The sequence below is a fragment of the Homo sapiens genome, chromosome 5, assembly GCF_000001405.40.
Source record: "Homo sapiens chromosome 5, GRCh38.p14 Primary Assembly".
In the NCBI taxonomy this organism is placed as follows: domain Eukaryota; kingdom Metazoa; phylum Chordata; class Mammalia; order Primates; family Hominidae; genus Homo; species Homo sapiens.
Window position 1 is genome coordinate 157,617,272 of NC_000005.10, and position 26,514 is coordinate 157,643,785.

The 26,514-nt window shown below is 39.7% G+C and overlaps 1 protein-coding gene across 3 annotated transcripts in view; it reads right to left on the bottom strand.

Annotated features, from left to right (window-relative positions):
* Positions 1–8,407: 8,407 nt before the first annotated feature.
* The window catches only part of SOX30 (SRY-box transcription factor 30), a 45,802-nt gene continuing 27,695 nt past the window's right edge, over positions 8,408–26,514 (bottom strand). For 2 of the 3 annotated variants that reach the window (NM_001308165.2, NM_178424.2), the window contains 2 exons: positions 20,959–21,451; positions 8,408–9,450 (listed from right to left, as the gene is read on the bottom strand). In NM_001308165.2, the coding sequence (NP_001295094.1) occupies positions 9,069–9,450; positions 20,959–21,451 (875 nt within the window). In that variant the 3' untranslated portion in view covers positions 8,408–9,068. The remainder of the gene's footprint in view (positions 9,451–20,958; positions 21,452–26,514) is intronic. The other variant, NM_007017.3, reaches the window with a different exon arrangement.

Consider the following 26,514-nt stretch of genomic DNA (forward strand, 5'->3'; position numbering starts at 1 on the left):
CAGCTCATGACAAAATATTGAGAAAATGCAAGACTGTGCATGTGTTGTGATTATAATCATGTGAAAAATGTGTGTGTATGTAAACAAATATTAGAAAGAGCATCATAAAATACAAATGATTACTGGATGGTTAAAAGCTTTTTCCTCCTTGGAAAATTCCCTTTAGTGTTGTTATGTTGTTTTCATAAATAAAATTTGAAAATAAGTCTTGCAAGCATTACGTGTTGTCAAAAAAAATTTTATGGTGTCAATGGTAAATATACATAAGAATCACCTGAAAAGCTTACTAAAAATGCATATTCACAGGCTCCAGCCCAAGAAATTCTGATTCTATAGGTCTGAGGAATGGCTGCATTTTTAACAAGCATCCAGAGTCATTTGTTAGAAGTGGTGCGTTGACCACATTTGAAAAACACTGCCATAGATGGTGTCTCAGAGTCACCTAAAAATAGAGTTGGGACATTATCTGTGCCAAAACAGCCTAGCTTTGTGTTGCACCAAAAACTCTAGGCCAGGCCGGGAGCAGTGGCTCATGCCTATAATCTAAGCACTTTGGGAGGCCAAGGTGGGTGGATCACCTGAGGTCAGGAGTTTGATACCGGCCTGGTCAACATGGTGAAACCCCATCTCTACTAAAAATACAAAAATTAGCTGGGCATGGTGGCGGGAGCCTATAATCCCAGCTACTCGGGAGACTGAGGCAGGAGAATTACTTGAACCCACGTGTGGGGGGACGGAGGTTGCAGTGAGCTGAGATTGCGCCACTTCACTCTAGCCTGGGCAAAAGAATGAAACTGCGTCTCAAAAAAAAAAAAAAAAACTCTAGGCCAATATTGGTCTATCATTGTTGGGGAAACAGTAAGAAAATTTAAAACAAACACTCCATCTTAAGAAAAATGCACTCTCCCTGGTTTGTAAAGTGAAATATCACTAAAAGGTACAGTTTTGATGATTTTTCTTTGAGTCTTCCAAGTAAACTTAAAGCTGTCTGATAAAAGCAACCCAATTTTGAACAGTTACATTTCTCCATTTCCCTTAGAGTCCCACACTTCCTTGTATCTTATTTCATGCTTTCCTAACAGGTGCCACACAAGTTCAGCTGTAATCTGCCTTCAAGTGTAAGGCATGGTAATTTCAAGCCCTACAGCTGGATAACATACTCTGCATAAGCCAGCCTTCTGAATAATTCAATATTCATTTTCTTTATTAGTGATGTAGGATTTTTCTTCTTGGTCACTTTGTAGGCTGGGGACCCCTGGCTGGTGACGCCCCGCTCAGACCTCGCTCAGCCACGCTGGCCTGCCCCAGCTCACCTGTGTGATAGTTTGTACCCGCATCGGGCGGTTCTTGAGCTCTTGTACCACACCCAAGAAGAATGAAGATAGGCAAGACATTGAAGGGTGAGGAGGGCAGATAATTTTATTGAGTGATGACACAGCTTTTAGCAGAGAGGGGACATGGGGGTGGTCCCCCTACCCGAAGACAGGAAAGTTCTTCGTGTGGCTGGTTCTGCCTTTTATGGACTCAGAGTAAGGATTATGTGCTGATTGGTTTGTGAGTATGCAAAAAAGGTTAAACAAAGACACCACTCAAAGGTGGGCATGATAGTGAAGAAAACCAATTAGGAAAGGGTAGATATATATAAAATAGGTGAAGGGTAAGCACCAATCAGAGGAAAGCAAACCAAACGGGAAGACAAGTTCTCAATCCAGTCCGAAGATTTAACTTGTAGCTTGGCTTTCAGGCTTTAAACTGTCTCCAGCTTGGAGTGGGGTTTTACCACAGGCCCACCCCTATCTGCCTAGGCATTTGGCAGCTGCCTGCCACTCTCATTAGGGTGACCAACTCATCACAGTTTGTCCAGGAGTTTCCTGATGTTAGCACTGAAAGTCTTATGTTTGGGAACCCCCTGCTCCTCAGTCCTGTGCAAACCAAGACCGGGACAGTTGGTCACCCTAACCTTCCATACAGCTTAAAAGAAAAGACATTCTCCAGGAGGAGGAGTCAGCCTCCACAGTGTCCCCAGGGAGCACAGGCAAAAACTTAGCTTTCTAAAGAAAAAACAAAAATACAGGTAAGGTGCTGTTCTATAGATAGATAGATAGATAGATAGATAGACAGATAGATAGATATTTTTTGAGACAGAGTCTCGCTCTGTCACCGGGCTGGAGTGCAGTGGCGGGATCTTGGCTTACTGCAACCTCCAACTCACTGGTTCAAGCGATTCTCCTGCCTCAGCCTCCTGAGTAGCTGGGATTACAGGCGCGCATCACCATGCCTGGCTAATTTTTGTATCTTTAGTACGGATGGGGTTTCACCATGTTGGCCAGAATGGACTCGATCTCCTGACCTCGTGGTCCTCCTGCCTTGGCCTCCCAAAGTGCTGGGATTACAGGCGTGAGCCACCGTGCCGGACCTGCTGTTCATTATTTTAAGAAATAGGACATTTCGGGCAGGGTGCAGTGGCTCATGCCTGTAATCCCAGCACTTTTGGAGGCCGAGACAGGCAGATCACTTGAGGTCAGGAGTTCAAGACCAGCCTGGCCAACATGGTGAAACCCCATCTCTACTAAAAAAAAAATAGAAAAATTAGCTGAGAGTGGTGGCACGTGCCTGTAATCCCAGCTACTCTGGACGCTGAGGCAGGAGAATCACTTGAACTGGGGAGGTGGAGGTTGCAGTGAGCTGAGATCACAGTACTGCACTCCAGCCGGGGTGACAGAGTGAAACTCCATCAAAAAAAAAAAAAAAAAAAAAGAAAAGAAAGAGAAGAAAAGAGAAGAGAAGGGGAGGGGAGGGGAGGGGACATTTCGGCCAGGCACAGTGGCTCACGCCTGTAATCCCAGCACTTTGTGAAGCCAAGGCAGGCAGATCACTTGAGGTCAGGAGTTTGAGACCAGCCTGGCCAACACAGTGAAACCCCATCTCTACTAAAAATACAAAAATTTAGCCGGGCGTGGTGGTGCACTCCTGTAATCCCTCCCAGCTACTCGGGAGGCTGAGGCAGGAGAATCGCTTGAACCCAGAAGGCAAAGGTTGCAGTGAGCTGAGACTGCACCATTGCACTCCAGCCTGGGCCACAAGAGCGAAACTCCGCCTCAAAGAATAAAAAATAAAAAAATATATATAGAAAAGAACATTACCCTTAAGTGGTTTCAGAGAAGGAGCCAGAGATGTAAAGGTGTTGTAAGCACTTTCCTATTTCTCCTCTCTTCTTACAAATGTTCATCACTTTGAGAAAATTTTACTAAGATTTGTGCATGTTAAACTCATCATCACAAAGGAGAGATTTGTAAAGCTGGATCGGGTGGTCTGAAAGCAGAATTCAGAGATAAAGGGTAAAACTGTAAAGAGGATGTGAAATTTTTCATCAAGTAGAATTTGATAAAAGGCAACTCCTACACTTGTTTTTAGATAAGTAGTTTTATTGTGATGCCTTTGAAAATTCTCTTAAATCCTAAAAAGTTATTAAGATGACCTAGAAAGCTAAAAAAAATGATGTGTCCCAGCAGAATCTGTTCCAACATGTAGGACAAAAAATTTTCAGAATTACTCTGCCCACATCAAAATTTTACTACTTTAAAATATTGCAAGCAGTTCATAGAATCTCCAGAAATTCATTTCAAAATCAGTTCCAAACTACAATTTTCAAAAGCAGTTCATATTTTTGGCTCAGGAGTAATCCTACCAACAGCTGGTTGACACAGTGAAAAACATACTTGTGTATCTATTTAGCACATTTGCCTACTTGAATTCTTGGGTGCAAATCAACTTTCCTTAAAAAGCCAGTTTAAATAGAAAAAGAGGGACTCCTCCCTAACTCATTTTATGAGGCCAGCATCATCCTGATAACAAAACCTGGCAGAGACACAACAAAAAAAGAAAATTTTAGGCCAATACCCCTGATGAACATCAATGCAAAAATCTTCAATAAAATACTGGCAAAACGAATCCAGCAGCACATCAAAAAGCCTATCCACCACAATCAAGTCGGCTTCATCCATGGGATGCAAGGCAGGTTCAACATATGCAAATCAATAAACACAATCCATCACATAAACAGAACCAATAACAAAAACCACCTGATTATCTCAATAGATGCAGGAAAGGCCTTCAACAAAATTCGACACTCCTTCATGCTAAAAACTCTCAATAAACTAGGTATTGATGGAATGTACCTCAATATAATAAGAGGTTTTTATGGCAAACCCACAGCCAATATCATACTGAATGGGCAAAAGCTGGAAGCATTCCCTTTGAAAACTGGCACAAGACAAGGATGCCCTCTCTCACCACTCCTATTCAACATAGTATTGGAAGTTCTGGCCAGGGTAATCAGGCAAGAGGAAGAAATAAAGGGTATTCAAATAGGAAGACAGGAAGTCAAATTGTCTCTCTTTGCGGATGACATGATTGTATGTTTAGAAAACCCCATCGTCTCAGCCCAAAAGCTCCTTAAGTTGTTAAGCAACTTCAGCAAAGTCTCAGGATACAAAATCAATGTGCAAAAATCACAAGCATTCCTATACGCCAATAATAGAGAAACAGAGAGCCAAATCATGAGTGAACTCCCATTCACAATTGCTTCAAAGAGAATAAAATACCTAGGAATACAACTTATAAGGGATGTGAAGGACCTCTTCAAGGAGAACTACAAACCACTGCTCAATGAAATAAAAGAGGACACAAACAAATGAAAAAACATTCCATGCTCATGGATAGGAAGAATCAATATTGTGAAAATGGCCATACTGCTCAAAGTAATTTATAGATTCAATGCTATCCCCATCAAGCTACCATTGAGTTTCTTCACAGAATTAGAAAAAAATACTTTAAATTTCATATGGAACCAAAGAAGAGCCCATATGGCCAAGACAATCCTAAGCAAAAAGAACAAAGCTGGAGGTATCACGCTACCTGACTTTAAACTATACTACAAGGCTACAGTAACCAAAACAGCATGGTACAGGTACCAAACCAGAGATATAGACCAATGGAACAGAACAGAGCCCTCAGAAATAATGCCACACATCTACAACCATCTGATCTCTGACAAAGCTGACAAAAACAAGCAATGGGGAAAAGATTCCCTATTTAATAAATGGTGTTGGGAAAACTGGCTACCCATAGGCAGAAAACTGAAACTGGACTCCCTCCTTACACCTTATCCAAAAATTAACTCAAGATGGATTAAACACTTAAACATAAGACCTAAAACCATAAAAACCCTAGAAGAAAACCTAGGCAATACCATTCAGGACATAGGCATGGGCAAAGACTTCATGACTAAAACACCAAAAGCAATGGCAACAAGAGCCAAAATTGACAAATGGGATCTGATTGAACTAAAGAGCTTCTGCACAGCAAAAGAAACTATCATCAGAGTGAACAGGAAACCTACAGAATGGGAGAAAATTTTTGCAATCTATCCATCTAACAAACAGCTAATATCCAGAATCTATAAGGAACTTAAACAAATTTACAAGAAAAAAAAAAAACCATCCAAAAGTGGGCAAAGGATATGAACAGACACTTCTCAAAAGAAGACATGCATGCAGCCAACAAACATATCAAAAAAATCTCATCATCACTGGTCATTAGAGAAATGCAAATCAAAAATACAGTGAGATACCATCTCATGCCAGTTAGAATGGCAATCATTAAAAAGTCAGAAAACAGATGCTGGAGAGGATGTGGAAAAATAGGAATGCTTTTACACTGTTGGTGGGAGTGTAAATTAGTTCAACCATTGTAGAAGACAGTGTGGTGATTCCTCAGGGATCTAGAGCCAGGAATACCATTTGACCCAGCAATCCCATTGCTGGGTATATACCCAAAGGATTATAAATCATTCTACTATAAAGACACATGCACACGTATGTTTATTGTGGCACTATTCACAATAGCAGAGACTTGGAACCAACCCAAATGCCCATCAGTGATTGACTGGATAAAGAAAATGTGGCACATATACACCATGGAATACTACGCAGTTATAAAAAAGGATGAGTTCACATTCTTTGCAAGGACATGGATGAAGCTGAAAACCATCATTCTCAGCAAACTAACAAAGGAACAGAAAACCAAACATCGCATGTTCTCACTCATAAGTGGGAGTTGAACAATGAGGACACACGGACACAGGGAAGGGAACATTACACACCAGGGCTTGTCGGGGGGTGGGGGTCTAGGGGAAGGATAGCATTAGGAGAAATACCTAATGTAGATGATAGGTTGATGGGTGCAGCAAACCACCATGGCACGTGTATACCTATGTAACAAACCTGCACGTTCTGCACATGTATCCAGAACTTAAAGTATAATTTTAAAAGCCAGTTTAATAGCCAGTAAATTAACAACAATTATAAGTTTCAGTTTTTCAATCTTTTAAGACCATTAAGATACAATGAAGAAAAGTTTATTCAGCCAGTGCTTTCACTAAGGAATTTGAACTGCCCAATGCAGAAAACCATGTGAGAAGTCAACAATTTTTAAACCAAAGCCACCAGCTATTATTTTTTTCTGAAGGGTGCTCTGTGAGATGTTAGTAGGTAATATGTTAACACAAAAAGTTGGGGGGAGTTCACGCTAGATAAGATTGGGAAACGCTGAAATAGAGTTTAACATGTTTCTTTACTGTAAGACTTTTGAGACATAACAATGATAATGGACACTGACACTCTTCAAGATGGGGTGTGACATGTTTTTTCCAAACTTATTTGACCAAATTTTGTCAGAATCTCTAAATTCTCACTGATGAATGTAGAGAAATACTGCTCTTGTCCTCCTAAATTTGGTAACTCGGCTCCTTGAAAGTTCAGACTAACTCTATTTTCAGTCACTTTGCAGTGAAACTAGTTTTTATTTGCAAATAGCCAGAGCAGCTTTGCCCAAAGCATAGAACAGTTTGAGTGACGTTCTATACATATTGAGATTTCAACATATTTTGAGACTATTCTTATAACAAATGTCATTACCTAACAAAAAAGGCAATGAGACCTACTAGAAAGTACTTGTGGCTTTGAACTTAGAGAATTTCACTTTGATGACTTAGAAAGGCAGATGAATTACTGCCAGTGGGGCAGGGCTTTGTTTGGACTGTAGATCTCTAGTTGGTGGTTTGAAAAGCTGTAAATGATCAGATATGGCCGTTTGTAGTTGGGAATGCTTATCTGCAATTGGGTACTTTCTAAATGAAATACTCATATTTCCCAGCCCAAATTGTACTGTGGATCTATAAACAATCCAAACTCCTGGCTTCTGATCCCAGCACTGAGAAAAAGGAGGAAGAGTAAAAGAATTGACCAGGGTTAGCCATTAAAAGAAAAGTTTAAAGAAAGAATCGGAGAGGGGCAGGGCTACCCTACAGACAGGCAGTTAGGATATACCGACCTGTGCTCTATCTTATTCACTGCTTTACACAGTGATTTCAACAACCAATTTGTCTACAAGAATAAGGTCTGTGGTAAAAATCCAGTTAGTCACAAAGTTGCTATTAAATGAGATGAGGTAAAATGGGTCAAATTGTTGCATACATTTCTCTTTAATGGTATAGATATCAAATGTGTAGACAATCAAATGTTACTTTAGTTCAGATGTGAGGTGACATATGTTTGCTTTCTATCACGAAGAAATTAAAGTTTTACTCTTTAAACACATCAAAATGGCACTGGGCATAGTAATAAAGAATATAAAACCATGAAAACAAAATTTGTATTGGGAAAGAAAGTGTCATGTACAATAAATGTAAGTCTGATGAAATGTATTACATTAACAAATTTTGTTTAAGAAACAAATACAGGTTTAGTAAAGGAAGAATGTGGAAGCTTAGAAGAGATTTCCATACACAATTTCCACACAGTTTTAAGTAACAAGATCTCAATTTGCATAAATTATATAGATCACTGAGGGAAAAGCGTATTGGTTGGTGACTATTTCCCATCATCAATTCACTTTGTACCTTAGAGATCTTTTACCATGATCTCAACTTTCATAGTCCTGATACTGTTCTAAAAAGGCCTTCTCAATCCCTAACTGGGTACTTACCAGGAGGTTATGTCACAGGTAGGGTTTTTTTGTTCATCGTGAATTAAATAAATTCCTTATGCTCTTAAATAAACTTCATGGTTTTCAAGACAGCTGCTTGAGCCAAATCTGGAAGAGCTCTTCCATTCTGGGATGTGCTTAAGTCATGTGTACGTATGTGTAAAGAGTTTGGAAATGGCATCAGAATGTGTGGGCAACTTTGTTGATACATGTTTAAGTCTCGTGTGAGCTAATAGAATCTATGCAATTCTGGAGACTATAGGTAAAAATGAATTATCTGTATATGGTATAGAAAACAATCTTCTATGAAAAATACTCTGTTTGCTTACTTCTATCCCGCAAACAGAAAACATCCAACAAGAACAATTTTATCTATGTTTATTTAATTACAACAAAGAACGATGTATGCCAAATGGAAAAAAAATATTTTAAAATGATAAAAATATTTAGAAACAGAAATGACTAAATTTAGCTGAAGAATCACCCAGGTGCCATTAAAACACATTTGGAACTTATAATTGGTTATTAGTGTAAGTTAAATTTAGCAACCAAGTCCAAGTTCACTAGGAGTTGTCAAAATACTTTCAAAATGTTACATCAAAAATTGACAACATCCATAAGTATTACATAAAAAGCAAACAAAAAATCATTTAAAAAATGTATCCTGAGATAAAATAAAAATCACACTATGCTAGATTTATTTCCCCTTTCCCCTCACATACAACTGTGAGGCTTCAGTATTTTGCATGTTCCAGGATAAAGTAATAATAATACATGTTGATGCAAATTTCAGCCATTAAAATTAAACTACTTAATAACTTAAATATTCCTACAATGAAACATCCAGACTCTAGTTTCACTAATCAAAATTTTATGAAGACATAAATTGCATTTGGTTTTAACTCCTCAAATCACGACTGAAAACTTTCAACAAAGAATTCTAGGCTTTTTTTTTTCTCATACCAACTGACCCAGAATATATTTTAAGAAATGTTTATTTTCTGTGCATATTTGTTTTAAAATTATAAATCCCTGAGCACTTTTTCTTCTTCCTCCTCATCACTGTCGGTGACATTGACTTGCTGGATGCTAGAAGGAGTTGATGTCGGGGCTGTGAAGACATTCTCCAAGGTTCCAATGTCCAGCTGAGGCACAGGGTTTAAGTTTTCTTCCCCACTGTGGCTATGACTGTTATAGTAAGAAGTTCCATTCATGTTCTCACAACTCCGAGAATTTTCACTGTGTGTGCATTCACTTGAGTAGTCTCTAAAAGAATAGTCTCTATTTAAAGTTGAAAAGATACCCTCATGTTTTGGGTACCTGTCTTCATAATAACTAAGGCATTCTGGCATTGAACTCGGAAAATTTCCATAGCCAAAGGGAGGCCGACTGTAAGGGCATGTACTGCAGCAGAAAAACACAAACAAGGAATTAGATCTTGCCCACATATTGCCTTGCATACAGACTAACAGAGCAAGTTAATGCCTCCTCTTTGGGGTTTGGAAAGTTCCTTTCTGCAAACACTTCATGTATTCCTCTGCTCTTTTCCCACTGCCCAGTCCCCACCCACAAGGAACAGGAAAGGGAGCTTGTGACTGGAATACTCACCAGCACTATTATCTATCGTTAGCCTCAGGCTTCTTACCTTTGACAACCATGATAACAAAATTGCTTATTCTGGTCTTTCTCTCATGATGCCTCATACCATATAAGGTTTTGGAAATGCAGATGTGTGTTGAGCTATGCTAAGAATTGACACTCAGTGGTTGGGCGCGGTGGCTCACGCCTGTAATCCCAACACTTTGGGAGGCTGAGGCGGGCGGAACATGAGGTCAAGAGATAGAGATCATCCTGGCCAACATAGTGAAACCCCATCTCTACTAAAAATACAAAAAATTAGCTGGGCATGGTGGTGCATGCCTGTAGTCCCAGCTACTCAGGAGGCTGAGGCAGGAGGATCGCTTGAACCCAGGAGGTAGAGGTTGCAGTGAGCCGAGACTGCGCCACTGCACTCCAGCCTGGTGACAGAGTGAGACTCCGCCTCCAAAAAAACAAAAACAAACAAAAAAACCCACAGAATTGACACTTAGTAAACAATGCAATAGTGCAATAGTTGTTTTTAGTGGTATTTGAAAGGAAGCTCATGTTGGGGGGGAAATGTATAACTAGATTGAAATCAAGAGATCCAGAATATTGAGGCACTGGAACAGAAGACAAGTTAAATTTTTTCATTGACATTCAATAATAAAGTAAATTTAAAACACTGTTACTACTAGAAAGATTTGAAACTGATAGTAAACTATGGTCTTAAAGGTCTTTTCCAAAACATTTTTTGGAGGGCAGGAATGTGAAGAATCAAAAAGACATTTTGCAGTTTTAAAAGTTATGGTTTTTTGGCCGGGCGCGGTGGCTCACGCCTGTAATCCCAGCACTCTGGGAGGCCGAGGTGGGCGGATCACAAGGTCAGGAGATCGAGACCATCCTGGCTAACACGGTGAAACCCCATCTCTACTAAAAATACAAAAAATTAGCCAGGCGTGGTGGCGGGCGCCTGTAGTCCCAGCTACTCAGGAGGCTGAGGCAGGAGAATGGCGTGAACCCAGAAGGCGGAGCTTGCAGTGAGCCGCGATCACGCCACCACACTCCAGCCTGGGTGACAGAGTGAGACTCCATCTCAAAAAAAAAAAAAAAGTCAAATCCAAAATTTCTGCCATTTGCTGGGCACAGTAGTGCATGCCTGTAGTCCCAGCTACTCAGGAGGCTGACGCAGGAGGATCGTTTGAGCCCAGGAGTTTGAAGCCAGCCTGGGCAATATAGTGAGACCCCCATCTCAAAAAAAAATTTTTTTAAAAAAGATTATACCTCAAAAATTCTGCTACTCAAACCCATTTGTCAATTGTTTTTAAGTATTATTCTCTCTTTCAAAGGCATAGAGCAGGAATTATAGGAAGAGGTAGAGTCCAACCATCTAGTGACAGATAACATAAACATAATGACCATACTCATCGGCAAAACCCATGGCAAGTTAAGTGTTTCATTTCTGGCCTTCACACACACACACACACACACACACACACACACACACACACAGAGTCAACTTTGTTACCTTACTTTTAAAAACCTAAGTATGACAGACATACTAGACTATTATCTCAAACTCTGAAACTATGCCCTACCCCCAAATCTTCAAGTGCTAGGTACCTTGCTCATGTTAATTATAACAAATGAGGTAAAGTTTCTAAAATTTTTCAGGTTTCCATGCCTACTGCCACTCTTAGTTCGGGCATTTTAAATTTAATACACATGTCCTGAATACACTGTGCTTCTTTTTTTTTTTTTTTTGAGACAGAGTCTCGCTCTGTCACCCAGGCTGGAGTGCAGTGGCATGAATTTGGCTCACTGCAACCTCCGCCTCCCAGGTTCAAGCAATTCTCCTGCCTCAGCCTACCGAGTAGCTAGGATTACAGGTGCCCGCCACCATGTCCGGCTAATTTTTGTATTTTAGTAGAGATGGGGTTTCACCATGTTGGCCAGTCTGGTCTCGAAATTCTGACCTCAGGTGATCCGCCCGCCTCAGCCTCCCAAAGTGCTGGGATTATGAGTGTGAGCCACCGTGCACGGCCAAATACACTGTGCTTCTGGCTAGCACAGCTTTGCTCATATAGCAGGTCTCTCTATCCATTGAATTCCACAGATAATTCAGGGATGAAAAGAGGCTGACTATGGGTACAAACATACAGTTAGATAGAAGATGTAAGTTCTAATGTTCAGTAGCACAGTAGGGTGCCTATAGTTAGCAACAATGTCTGGTGTATTTCAAAGTAGCTATAAGAGAGGACTAAAAATGTTCCCAATATACAGAAATGATAATCAAGGTGACAGATAACCCAAATACCCTGACTTGATCATTACACATTTTATACATATTTATGACAAGTACCCCATAAATACGTAAAATGTTATATATCAATAAAATAAAAATCTATCCCTTCCACAAAGCCTTCATTTCAGCTAGAAATAATTCACCCAACAACTGTCTTTTTCAGGACTCAATGTAGGCAAGACGCTATGTAAGGCTTGGTAGATAATTTTTTAAAAAACATAAAATCTAGGTATATATTAGACATGTGCTAAAGTCTATAACGCCAGCATTATAGTGACTATTTTGGTGTGGTAAAGACGAGTTCGTGTTATATTCAGAGAACAAAAAGATCAATTAAGACAAAGGCAATCCTAGAAGGTTACATGAGTGAAAGCAAAAAACTATAAAAGCATCATGGTGTAGGGGGAAAAACATTAATTAGAATAGTCCAAATAATAATATTATCCAATATGTAAGCATTTACTATTTTTTAGGCATTGGCCAAGGAGTGTATATGTTATTTCAATATAACACTGAACAACACTCAGAACGACCCTAAGACACAGACACTATAAATATCTCCACTGTACAGATGAGGAAATGGAGCTTTAAAAAGGTTAAGTAACTCGCTCAAAGTGATATAATTAGTAAGTGGTAGACAGAATCAGGCAATTTGACTCCAGAACTTGTTCTCCTAACTACCATGCCGCCCTACCCAGGCTCTAGTTCTAGCTATGCCACATAAGAATCTGGTAAACTTAAGTAAATCTTACTTTATCTGATCCTTGTATCCTTCTTATATAAAATAGGGATAACAATGTCTGTTCTGTCAACCTAAAAGGTCTGTCATAAGGAACAGGAGAATATAAGTGATGGAAACTAGAAACACTATTTCAATGTATGATTGGTAAGTCTTATAAGAAGTTACTGCAATTTTTAGCTTGAGGATTTGTATTTGGTTCTTTTTTAATTTCTATCTCCTTATTGATATGATCTATTTGGTGAAACACTGTTCTCCTGGTTTCCTTTAGTTCTTTGTCCATGGTTTCCTTTAGTTCCTTGAGCATATTTAAAACAGCTGATTTAAACTGTCTATTAAGTCCAATGTCTCAGCTTCCTTGGGGATAGTTACTATTAATATTATTTCCTTGTGAATGCCCTACTTTCTTGTTTCTTTGCATGTCTTGTAACTTTTTTGTTGAAAACTGGATGTTTTGAATATTATAATGTGATGCCACTAGAAATCAAATTCTTTCCCTTATCCAAGGTTTGTTGTTGTTGCTTGTTTGGGGTTGTAGTTGTTTATTTGGTTTTCTAGAGTATTTTTGTAAAGACCGTATTCTTTGTTATGCATGGTCATTGAAATCTCTGTTCAATTAGCTTAGCGGTCAGAAATTTGATAGAGATTTCCTTAAAAACCTAGAAACAAAAACAAAACAAAACATATTTTCCTGGTCTTTACAGATTGGCTTTGAACTGGGGCACTCCTTAAATACTTAGCCAGGCTATTTTCAGTTCTGCCTTAGTCTTTACTTCCTGCTTATACAGAGCCTACAGATCAGTTAGAGTTAAAAGCTTGGGGTCTTTTTGTGTATTTTCTGAACATGGGTCTAGCTCTGGATATGTGTGTGGCCTTCTGGATTTCCCATTTATATATATACATTATATATATATTATATATTTTTATATATATATATACAATATATATAATTTTATATATATAAAAAATATATAATATCTATATTATATATTATATATATATACTATATATATTGTATATATATACACTATATATTTTTATATATATACTATATATATTTTTTATATATATACTATATATTTTATATATATATACAATATATATATTTTATATATATATATATATATATACACACAATATATGTATTTTATATATGTAATTTAAGAGATGGGGTTTTGCTGTCACCCAGGCCAGAATGCAGTGGTATGATCATAGCTCACTACAGTCTCAAATTCCTGGGCTCAAGCAATCTTCCTGCCTCAGCCTCCCAAGTACCTGAGACTACAGGTACACCACCACACCCAGCAACTTCCAGAGACTTGAATGATTGGTTTTTAAAAATAGTTTTCACCACTTACACTTGTTTGCTAGAGACTGGGTCCACAGAGCTCCCTGTGCTGCCATCTCAAAAATGAACCGTACTCTCACTTACCTTTTTAATTATTTGATTCTATTTCTATTCTTGAGCTTTGCTCTTGGGTGCAGTTAAATTACTTAAAAACAAGTTGGTCCTTTCAGGTCTTGCTTTTAAGAATTTTGAGCTGGGCGCGGTGGCTCACGCCTGTAATCCCAGCACCTTGGGAGGCCGAGGCGTGTGGATCACCTGAGGTCAGGAGTTTGAGACCACCCTGGTCAACATGGTGAAACCCCGTCTCTACTAAAAATACAAAAATAAGCCGGGCATGGTGGTGCGGCCTGTAGTCCCAGCTACTCCAGAGGCTGAGGGCAGGAGAATTGCTTGCTCGAACCCGGGAGGCTGAGGTTGCAGTGAGCCAAGATCGTGCCACTGCACTCCAGCCTGGGTAACAGAGTGGGAACTCGTCTCAAAAAAAAAAAAAAAAAAATTAGAGCACAATGGCTCATGCCTGTTAATTCCAGCACTTTGGGAGGCCAGGAGTTTGAAAACAGCCTAGGCAACAAAGTGAGGCCCTGTCTCTACAAAAACATGAGAATATTAGCTGGGCATGGTGGTGCACACCTGTAGTCCCAGTTATTCAGGAGGCTGAGAAAGAAGGATCACTTAGGCCCAGGAGTTCGAGGCTGCAATGAGCTATGATCATGCCACTGCACTCCAGCCTGGGTGACACAGCAAGACCCACCCCGTAACTAAAAAAAAAAAAAAAAAAAAAAAAAAAAAGAATTTTTAGTTGTGACCATTGCAACATTTGGGCTAAGGCTATCTGAAGCAAGACCCTTCTGAGTACCCAATGTTCTGTGCCCCATAGAAGTTTTCCAATCTAGTTGGTGGGACTATTCACAGCACTGTGTTAGTGCATGATTGCCAGATATTGTTTTCTCTGATCCTTTCAGGTGGTTCTTTCACTGCCTTGGGTTGTTTCTTCACAAGGATGCACTAATTAGTACTTCACCGAATACTCAAGAGGGACCCTACACAGTCATCTGGAGTTCCCTCTGTGCGTAGCTCTCTTTTCTCTGGTACTCTATCCTGAAAAGTCTAGCTAATTAGGTCTCATTGGATTTCCAGTAGAGACGGGTGAAACCCCATCTGTACTAAAAATATAAAATTAGCTGGACGTGGTGGTGGGCACCTGTAATCCCAGCTACTCGGGAGGCTGAGGCAGGAGAATCACTTGAACCCTGGAGGCAGTGCAGTGAGCCGAGATCGTGGCATTACACTCCAGCCTGGGCAAAAAGAGCGAAACTCCATCTCAAAAAGAAAAAGAAATGTCTGCATCCAGTGGACAGGGTGATTTTAGACTCTGAACCAATGTGTGAAACACCTTGGGAATTTTATTTCTAATGAAAATCACATAGAGCCCTGAGTAAAAACAAGATTCTTTCTGTGCTTTACCTGGATCAACGACAAAAATTTTATATTCCTTTTATCAAGGTTAAGAAGTCCTTCCAGCCAGGTGTGGTGGCTCACGCCTGTAATCCCAACACTCTGGGAGGCTAAGGCAGGCAGATCACTTAAGGCCAGGAGTTCAAGACCAGCCTGACTAACATGGCAAAACTCAGTCTCCACTAAAAATACAAAAATTAGCCAGGCATGGTAGCATGTACCTGTAATCCTAGCTACTCAGGAGGCTGAGGCACGAGAATCGCTTGAACCCCAGAGGCAGAGGCTGCAGAACCCCAGTCTGGCAGACAGAGCAAGACTCTCAAAAAAACAAAAAAAAGAAAAATTCCTTCCAGGGTCTTGGCTTTATAAAGAGGTTTTAGTTTCAGTACCTATCCCCACCTTGAACAGGGGAGCAGAGCAGGGTCAAGACCTCATCTTTTTTCCCTTCACAGACATTAAAACTCAAGTTTAGGGTTTTTTCTGTTTTTGTTTTTGTTTTAGAGACAGGATCACAATTTGTTGCCAAGACTGGCCTCGAACTCCACCTCAGCCTCCCAAGTAGCTGGGACTACAGGTGCATGACAGCACATCGAGCTTAAAACCCAAGTTTATAACCAATGAAACTATTTCTGAATCTGAAAATCATCTCCAGGACCACTACAACTAGTTTTTAACTTGTTGATCATTTTGGCACATGGTGAGTTCCTTGCTGGGGAGTTCAGGTAGGTATTAAATTGTTCATATTTAAATTTAACATTTCTAGGTAGTTACAGCAGAAGGTATTCTATGTTAACTAAGTCTATCATGTTTTGGGACTGTTAGTTTCCCTCCTCCATAAGTTTAGGCAAAAGTTTGTATATGTATGCAGATATGCATTATTATGGAAGAAGTCCATAACTTCAATCAAATTCTCAAATGGGTCTCTGACCCAAACAAAGGTTAAAGAGAATTGCTTTTAACCTTTGATTCATTTGCCTAAAATTTTACAATTTAGATGCTATTTCTACAAATCCAGGAATTCTTTGAACTTACTTTCCCTACAATATATCTGAGTGTATTTTCCATATATTTCAAGATAGTAAATCCCCATTTGTCTTCATATCTTTTCTTTATCCCTACTTACATAGATTTTAAACACATTTTTTACCCAATGGCCAACAGAATGAAGATACTATGTATCTCCCTTGAATGTGAAAGCCCAATATACTGCAAGAAGAAGGAAGAGGAAGGGGTAGGGAGAAAAGAACTAGTCTGAAGAATTAATGTAGTACACAGAAAGAGAGCATTTTGACAAACACAATATGATGATGGTTAAGATCTGAAGGCAGGAATAAGATGTTAGCCCCAGAGAGGGGGAGCAGCACTTCTGAGTGTCCATCTGTTTTGTAAAATGACTCCTTGATTAAACCACCTAGCCTACTTGATTTTTACTCTACATACACAGGGCAAAGTGAACTGCGTAGCGAAAAGAAACACTTTTTGGTTTTTTGAGACATGGTCTCACTCTGGTGCCCAGGTTGGAGTGCAGTGGCATGATCTTGGCTCACTGCAGCCTTCACCTCCCAGGCTCAAGTGATCCTCCCACCTTAGCTTCCTGAGTAGCTGGGACTACAGGCACATGCCACCACGACCAGCTAATTAAAAAAATTTTGGGGGTAGAGACAAGGTCTCACTAAATTGCCCAGGCTGGTCTCAAACTCCTGGGCCCAACAGATTCTCTCTCCTTGGCCTCCCAAAGTGTGTTGGGATTACAGGCGTGAGCCACCACGCCCAGCCAAAATTTTTAATAGTGAATAATCATAAATATATACATATATACACAAAATATGTATATATAAGTATATCTCAAATGTCCATTACAATTCTAACATTGAAATAGTTGGAAAATTCCACATATAAATAACTAGAGTAGGAAGGAAATATATATATAGTTTCACTCTTGTTGCCCAGGCTGGAGTGCAGGGGTGTGATCTTGGTTCACTGCAACCTCTGCCTCCCAAGTTCAAGCGATTCTCCTGCCTCAAGCTCCCGAATAGCTGGGATTACAGGTGCCCACCACCACACTTGGCTAATTTTTGTATTTTTAGTAGAGACAGGGTTTCATCATGTTCACCAGGCTGGTCTCAAACACCTGACCTCAGGTGATCTGCCCGCCTCGGCCTCCCAAAGTGCTGGGATTACAGGCGTGAGCCACTGCATCTGCCCAGAAATATTCCTTACAGAAAATTCCATTATCAGTTGGGAGAAGAGAAAAATTGAGAGAGAATCAATTAATTTTGGCATTTAGGGTTTACTGAAATATACTATCTAGACAGTCATAAATAGATTATTTCCTTGGGGAAATTATCATCAGACACATACAGGTAGAGTCAGAAAAACAACTGAAAAATATTATAATTGATAAGGCTAGTCTTCTTTTCTAAAAAACTATGCATAGCTTAATGTTTATAGTTGACATACTGCTCTGACATTCTTAAATGAAATAAAATTCAGTATAATAGCTAGTCACTTCATTTGGTTCTTCCAATAGCATTATTATTAATTAGCAGTAATAGTATTAACAAAAAAGGTAGTTTCTGTCTTCCAAGAACTTACTTTTGGGTGGGAGCAGTGGCTCATGCCTATAATCCCAGTAGTTTGGGAGGCTGAGGCAGGTGGATCACCTGAGGTCAGGAGTTCGAGACCAGCCTGACCAATATGGTGAAACCCCATCTCTACTAAAAATACAAAAATTAGCCGGGTGTGGTGATAGGCACCTGTGGTCCCAGCTACTCGGGAGGCTGAGATAGGAGAATTGCTTGAACCTGGAAGGCAGAGGTTGCAGTGAGCCAAGATTGCGCCACTGCACTCCAGCCTGGGTGACAGAGCAAGACTCTGTCTCAAAAAAAAAACAAAAACAAAAACAAAGAACTTACTTTCAAGAGCTTCCTTTTAAAATGTTCCTTAAAGTGTCAGATAATTTATACATTAACAGTCAAATCTTACAAGCCTTGTCCCAAATAAATAAGATAGACTTCTATGATTTAATCTATGTAATATGTAAGGAAAATTACCTGCCCCAATGTCCACTTGACTATGTGAGGTTTTTATTCAAAATATATTTTTTCCATATGATTCTCTGCTAGCAACTAACAGCTGCCAATCAAGAGGAGCTGTCATAAAAGAAGTCTTACTGATATAGTAAAAAAGACAAATATGAAATTCAAAATCAATCAAACCTGAATTTGACTATTGGCTCTGCCACTGTACAACCTTGATGAGGCTATTTACTAATCCATTTATTTAACTGAAAAAGTAGGGGAATATTATACCCAAGTCACAGGATTGTTATAAAAACTACGTGTAAAAATTCTTAGCTCTCAAAACACTAAAAAGAAGAAAAATGCAACAAACAAAAAAGTAGTAACAGCTAGAGTGAGACTGTGGTACACAGCCCATTGTAATTGACTCTTCTTCACCTATCCTGTGAGTAAATAGGGTCCAAGCATTTCCCATATTACAAAATTAATTATGTAGCAGATACAATTTTCCACAATTTTTGTTATAGGCCTCAAGATTCTAACTAAGGCCAAGTGTTCTCAAATTTACTCATTCATTAAATTCAATCTACACCCTTCATATTCTTCTTATATGTAGGAAACATTTTATAAAATTCTCCAAAATTCCTGTAAAATCCTAGATCCTAGCAGATAGCAATGAAAAGAGATTATCAACCTCCCCGGCCTTAAATTAAAAGTCTCTTGAGGTTTGATCCCTTGAACTAAAATACTTATTAAGGCTGCAAAAGATAAAAAGATTCTACATAAAACAAAACAAACCCTAGATGACAAAAATCTTCCTTTCTCCTGATCTAATCCTCTGGTCCCACTTTCTTCCAGTCCTGAGCTAAGGGCCCAAAAGCAAGCAATTGATTATAAATTGAAGCAACATAATATATACCTCAAAAGTTGTTTCTATTGAGGTGTAGGTATACCCTAATGGGAAGTAGATTTACTTGCTAAGTAAGAAACAATAAAAGATTGGTGTTAGACAGTTTAATACTCCCGTCTCAACAGAAACCATCTTTGTCTACACATTTAACAGTAATTGAAAAGTAAAGGCTAGGCCGGGAATGGTGGTTCACGCATGTAATCCCAGCACCTTGGGAGGCCGAGATGGGCAGATTATCTGAGGTCGGGAGTTCAAGACCAGCCTGACCAACATGGAGAAACCCCATCTCTATTAAAAACACACAAAAAAAATTAGCCAGGCGTGGTGACGCATGCCTGTAATCCCAACTACTCAGGAGGCTGAGGCAGGAGAATCGCTTGAACCCGGGAGGCGGAGGCTGTGGTGAGCCAAGATCGCGCCATTGCACTCCAGCCTGGGCAACAAGAGCAAAACTCCGCCTCAAAAAAAAAAAAAAAAAAAAAAATGGAAAGCAGAGGCTAATACCACTCTATCAAAATACTTCCAAGGGAGTTAAATTTCTATCATTCCAAAATGAAGTTACACATTTGTTTTCCCTAGATACTTCCCTATGAAAATGAATTCCTTTATTGGTAATTTATGTGGGAAATTTTCTAATTTGGTAAAAAGGGCACAAAGAGGTAGTATAACTTTGGTCTAGTCATTTAACCTAGGTAAATAAACAATTTTTCACGTAGACCAAGTGCCCTCCTCTATACCCTTGCTATTCAAAGTGTGGTCCGTAAACCAGCAGAATTGGCAATCACTTGGGAGCTTGCTAGAAATGCCAAATATCAGGCGTACTATACTCCCATATAGGATACTACTAAACCCCAGACCCAATGAATCAGAATCTGCATTTTTAACAAAATACCACGATTTATATACACAATAAAGTTTGAGATGCACCCCCTCTATACAATAAGTACACCTCAATACATTTGACTAAATGATCTTAAGGTCCCTTATAGTTATTTTGCATGAAAAATTATATCCAACATTAAAGCCTATATTCTTGTTCTTTTTTTTTTTGAGATGGTCACCCAGGCTGCAGTGAAGTTGGTGTGATCTCAGCTCACTGCAACCTCCGCCTCCCAGGTTCAAGTGATTCCCCTGCTTCAGCCTCCTGAGTAGCTGGGATCACAGGCACGTGCCACCACGCCTGGCTAATTTTTGTATTTTTAGTAGAGACAGAGTTTTACCATGTTGACCAGGCTGGTCTCAAACTCCTGACCTCGAGTTACCCACCCACCTTGGCCTCCCAAAGTGCTGGAATTACAGGCATGAGCCACTGCCTGAAGCCTATATTCTTATGTAACAAGAGTCAGCTGGAGCTGAGTTAGAGCTGCACTCTCCCTAGCTACCCCAGTCCTCACCTGGCCCTCTCCATCTATTTATGTTAACTGCTTGGCTCCTAGTCAGCAGAATTGAAGAAGTCTGCTTTTCAGTATTTAAAAACAAATAAACAAAAAAATGTTGTCACAGGTAAAAACTCATTAGCTGAATGTTTAGGTAAAAGGAAAAAAAATGTTAATTTACCTTGATGGGAAGTAGTGAGGTCCGGGTAGGAAGTAAGGGTGATGAAAAGAGAATCTTGGTGGTGTCCCGAACAGTGTGGCTGGATGGCCAAGGGGAGGGGGCTGGTAGACATGTGGGTGTGGAATGGGAGAAGCCTGGGGGATTGGAGCACTTCTGGGACAAGGGGAAACGCTGGAATACTCCCTAGGAGGTTGGATGGTCGAAGTTGCAAATCTGGCATGGGCAGTACTTGCACTACTTGAAATCCTGTTGGCGCTCTCTAGAGAGACAGGAGTGGGTTGCTTCACAGTGTGAGTGGCTTCAGAATGCAGCTGATGAGTGTCTGTTTGGGAAGGCCCAGTAAAGCGTTGGGGTGGGAGTGCTGGATAGACAGGTAGACTTGGATCCTGGACAGCCACCTGAGCAGCACTGGAGACGCTGGGCTGGAAAAGTGTGACAGGGCTTGGGCTCTGGACTGCAGGTGTGGGCAGCTGGATAGCAGGTGAGGTTTCACCTTTAGAAATAAAAATAGCATAAATCAAGAATTAACTGAGTCATTCCATGTTTTTCTTCTTTCAGTAAAGTTTAATAAATTGTATAAGCAGAGGCCTTCATCAATCACCTTACCTAACTGCATCATCATATCAAACCACTCTATTTCATTTGCAGCATTTTGAACAAACTGAAGTTATCTTGTTTTCTTGTTCATTTACATTTTTTGTCTCTCTCTCTCAACTAGACTCTAAGTGCCATGAGAAGAGCAACGTTTTCTGTTTCGTTTGCTGCTGTATCCCCAGGGTGAAACATTCTGTCTGGGGCAGAAGAGGCCCTCAACAAATATTTTTTAGATGAATAAACAAATGAATAAAATTATTGATAGATATATTAAAAGACTGAAAACACATAAATGCTGGTATGCATATATACATTTAAAAATAATAATAATATGAAGCTATTGACACTAGTTACCTTTAAGGAGCCATGATCTAAGAGAGGGGACAGGGCAGTGGGGCAGGAGGAAAAGCCAGACTTTCGTTTTATACCTACTGGTACTATCTGAATGTTCTGTTTACCTAAATATATTAATCTTATTTTTAATATTACTAGGGGTTTCAGAGTAGCAGTATGGGTCATTTTTCTTTTCTTTTATAAACTTCTCTATATTAAACTAAATTATAAATGACATTTAATTTTTTTCGTTGAAAAAAACTTAAACAACAAAATTACTTCACTCTATTGTATTCAATATGAATACGAAAGGAAATTTCCAAGTGAGAACAGGACTTGCCACATGTCAACCACTGGTGACAGATACAAAAGGAATACTATTGCAGCAGAGCATGAAAGATATGGCAAAATTTTTAAAGGTAGGTGAAACAATTAATGTGTTTTAGCTTTCTGTTCTGAAGAAGACAGGACTACTGATTGAGCTGCTAAGTGACCCAAATGACACACCTGGTCTAAATTTAATTCAACTTTCCTGAAGAAATACAGATGGATGCCACAGCAAGAGAGTCATGATCTAACGTATTGCAATACAGTTTCGAATCCATTAATAAAGAAGATGCAGTCCAAGAAATTCTGCGGTTGGACATGTCTCTGTCATAGACTGAAAGAAATGTGGATCTTTTCCCAGCCTCATTCAGGTGACTTCCCTCTCCTTTCTTTTCTCCAGATAAAGCAGATAATGCCCCTCTTAAAGCAGGAAGTAGGGAATTAAGGGACATAGCCACCTGTCTGAAGATGGGCTCTGACCCAGTGAAGTAGAGAAACAGGATGTAATGATGCTGCCCTGATTTTCACCTGATGAGGTTATCTGGACTAGCCCCACTATCTGTGAGGCACAGGCCCTACTCAGGCCCTTCCTGATTTATCAAGCATAGGTTAATTTCCCTTGTCCACGTTCCCTCCAAACCTTGTAAACCTATCACCTATCATGAAATAGTGTAAATCTTTGTGATTATTTGCATGTCTGCCACCCCAACCATGATCACCAAACTGGGAGATTGAGAGCAGGAACTCTCAATTTCTATTCGTATCCCAGTATCTAGCCAGAACCTGGTTAATAAAAAATAGTTAAGAAAAGTATGAATGGATACAGCTTTATAAAAGTTCCAAAGCCTTTAAATGAATAGGAATACTCATATAAAAGGAGGATGCTGGCATAACTGGCATCAAAGACATGTAATCAAAGATCTGAAGAGAATTCCACACTACCATGCTATAAGCGAGACAGGGTAGTGGGGTGGCGGGGATCATCTCACCTTCACTCACGTATTTTTCCATACATGCGCACTGACCACCAGACCTTGCAGCACCACCCCCACTGACACCATACCCATTGACCAGACCTTGCAAGCTGTCTGAAAAAACTAAGATAAGCAGCATTCCACCACAAATCTTACTCAAGGGAATTAACTCTATCGCCTGCATGTGCACAAGGGCTGCATGTGAGAATGGCCTCCTGGCAAATTCTAGAATGACGATCTAGAATTAGAATGACGATCCTAACCCCTAGGATTGTAATATTAAAATCTCTAGGATTGAAATACTAAAATCTCCGCCCAGGGAGATTTTCTGATCATGATCAACATATGAGTTAGCATGATTCCTTACTTGTCTGCACACCCTGCACTCCACCTCGCATATGTAATGACACTCAGCTACCTCATGCATTATGCATATCACCCTCCTGAAGACACCATAATGCACTCCCTTGGAGAGCCAGCCAGAGAACCCTTTCTCCTGTGCTGTCTCTCTTAATACCCAATCTTTCCAGGCATAAGCCCTAACAACCCCTGTCTAGGAAAAGTTTGCCTGGCCTCTTGTTAATTTCTATTACACTGAGAGCCAAGAACTTTACGCCAGTAACATAAGCACTTTCAGAAACTAGAAACAGGGTGGGTGCCATGGCTCACATTTGTAATCCCAACACTTTGGAAGGCCAAGATGGGAGAATCACTTGAGTCCAGGAGTTTGAGACTAGACTGGGCAACCTAGCAAGATCCCATCTCTACAGAAAAAAAAAAAGAACTAGTAAGAGAAGAGGAGCTTGGGAGATAGTACTAAATGTGAGTGACAGAGTAAATAATGCACCAGACATAAAAATAATACCAGACAAGTGCTGGGCGTGGTGGCTTATGCCTGTAATCCCAGCACTTTGGGAGGCCGAGGCAGGTAGATCGACTGAGGTCAGAGGTTCAAAACCAGCCTGGCCAACATGGTAAAACCCCATCTCTACTAAAAATACAAAAATTAGCCGGGCTTGGTGGCATGCACCTGTAATCCCAGCTACTCTGGAGGCTGAGGCAGGAGAATTGCTTAAACCTGGTAGGTGGAGGTTGCAGTGAGCTGAGATCATGCCACTGCACTCCAACCTGGGTGACAGAGCAAGACTCTATCTCAAAAAATAATAATAATACCAGACAAGAAAGTAGATTCTATCAAAGAAATAGTAAAAGTAGTTATATTTATATCTATACTTGCTACGACTACCTAACGAACTCTTTGACAGCAGAGACTACAAAAAAACTTTATATGTTGTTCCTAGCAGAGTTTGCCCCATAATAGGATTTAAGAAACCTTAGTAGTGAAGGCGGCAGGTAAGCAGGCAAACAAATGTGCCACTGGAATTTACTCAGAAGATATCTGAGATAAAACTCACTGTTACAGGGGAGAATACCAGATTAAACTGCCAGATTTCGAATATATTTACTGAATATCTTAATGTGATAAAAGTGTACTGGGAAGATCTAGTACAGGACAAGTGATCGATTAGAACAAAAAGGTTTGGTAGAATACACAGTAAAATGAAATCAGCTTGAGGGCCGGGTGCAGTGGCTCATGCCTGTAATCCCTGCACTTCGGGAGGCTGAGACGGGCAGATTACTTGAGTCCAGGAGTTCAAGACCAGCCTGGCCAATGTTGCGAAACCCCGTCTCTACTAAAAATACAAAAATTAGCCAGGCGTGGTGGCGCTTGCCTGTAGTCCCAGCTATTCAGGAGGCTGAGGCAGGAGAATCGCTTGAACCTGGGAGGTGGAGGTTGCAGGGAACCAAGATCACGCCACTGCACTCCAGCCTGGGAGACAGAGTAAGATTCCCTCTCAAAAAAAAAAAAAAAGAAGAAGCTTGATTGAGAGCCAAATAATGGAGAAATATTACTAGAAAATCCATGAATTCAGTGTGTGAAATATTATGCGGTAGTAATCACAACATATTTAAATTTATGATCCTGGCTAAAGAGAAAGTCAAAAAAATCTACGCTGGGGTTATTCAATTTTTGGAATATTGATATTGGCTAGGGAAAAAGGCTGATAGAGATTAAAATAAAAAGTTCATAGAAAAATGGAGATTATTTTACATGACAATGCTAAAAACACAAAAGAAAGAAATGTGCCTCAAAGTCACAGTTACTATGGCTAACTGGCAAAAAAATAAATAAATAAAAAATAACAAAAATAACAACAACAACAACAACAAAACCTTCAAAAGCTTGTCCAAATGTACAAATGAGCCCAACTGCGGTGAGGCAAATGCAAAAAAACTAGGCAGTCCAAAGGAAAATTGAAGGAGCCACACCTGAGAGACCTCAAAGTCAATACTAATTGACTCCAAATATTTTTACAAAAAGGAGAGAATCGGTGGAATTATTTAGTCATTACGGTATAAACAGCAACTGACAGAGAACAGAGAGACTCAATAAATTCCTTTCTCCTAAAGAAGACCTTAAGATTTCTGAACCCTAATTTTCAAAGTAAATAGGTTAAAAATATTAGATCAACTACAGTATAATGACAAGTTCAAAGAATGTTCTAATCCAATTGACAAAAGGAATATAAATAGATCTTAGATGGCATTCACCCAAGAATTTTTTTTTTAAAGAAGAAAACGGACAACAACAACAACAACAACAACAACAACAACAAACCTCTGTCCAGGCATGATGGCTCACACCTGCAATCTCAGCACTTTGGGAGGCAGAGGTGGGCAGATCACCTGAGGTCAGGAGTTTGAAAAACCAGCCTGGCTATCATGGTGAAACCCTACTAAAACTACAAAAATTAGCCAGACATGGTGGTGCATGCCTATAATCCCAGCTACTCGGGAGGCTCAGGCAGGAAAATCACTTGAACCCCGGAGGTGGAGGTTGCAGTGAGCTGAGGTCGCGCCACTGCACTCCAGCGTGGGCAACAGAATGAGACTTTGTCTCAAAAATATATATAAATATAAATATTAAAAAATTTTTTTAAAAAACCTCAAGGGTGGAACTGAGAAAATTTTAGACAAAGTAGGTACAAATGGCTTCTGCCAGAGATTTTTAGAAAATTAACATGACTTCCAGCTATTGAAACTGATGACCTTGACAACTCTAGCTTGGTGAGTCTATTATCTACACCTGAAATGGTGGTGAAATGTATACAGTACGATATTAATGCACAAAGCTTGCTACAGAAAAAGAGCAAATTGTTTTTATATGAGAAAAATCATATACCTCACTATCTTGATATCTTTCTTCCATGGAAATACAGCAAACATGCTTGAAAAACAAAATTACCGTAACTTCATATTTAGAATA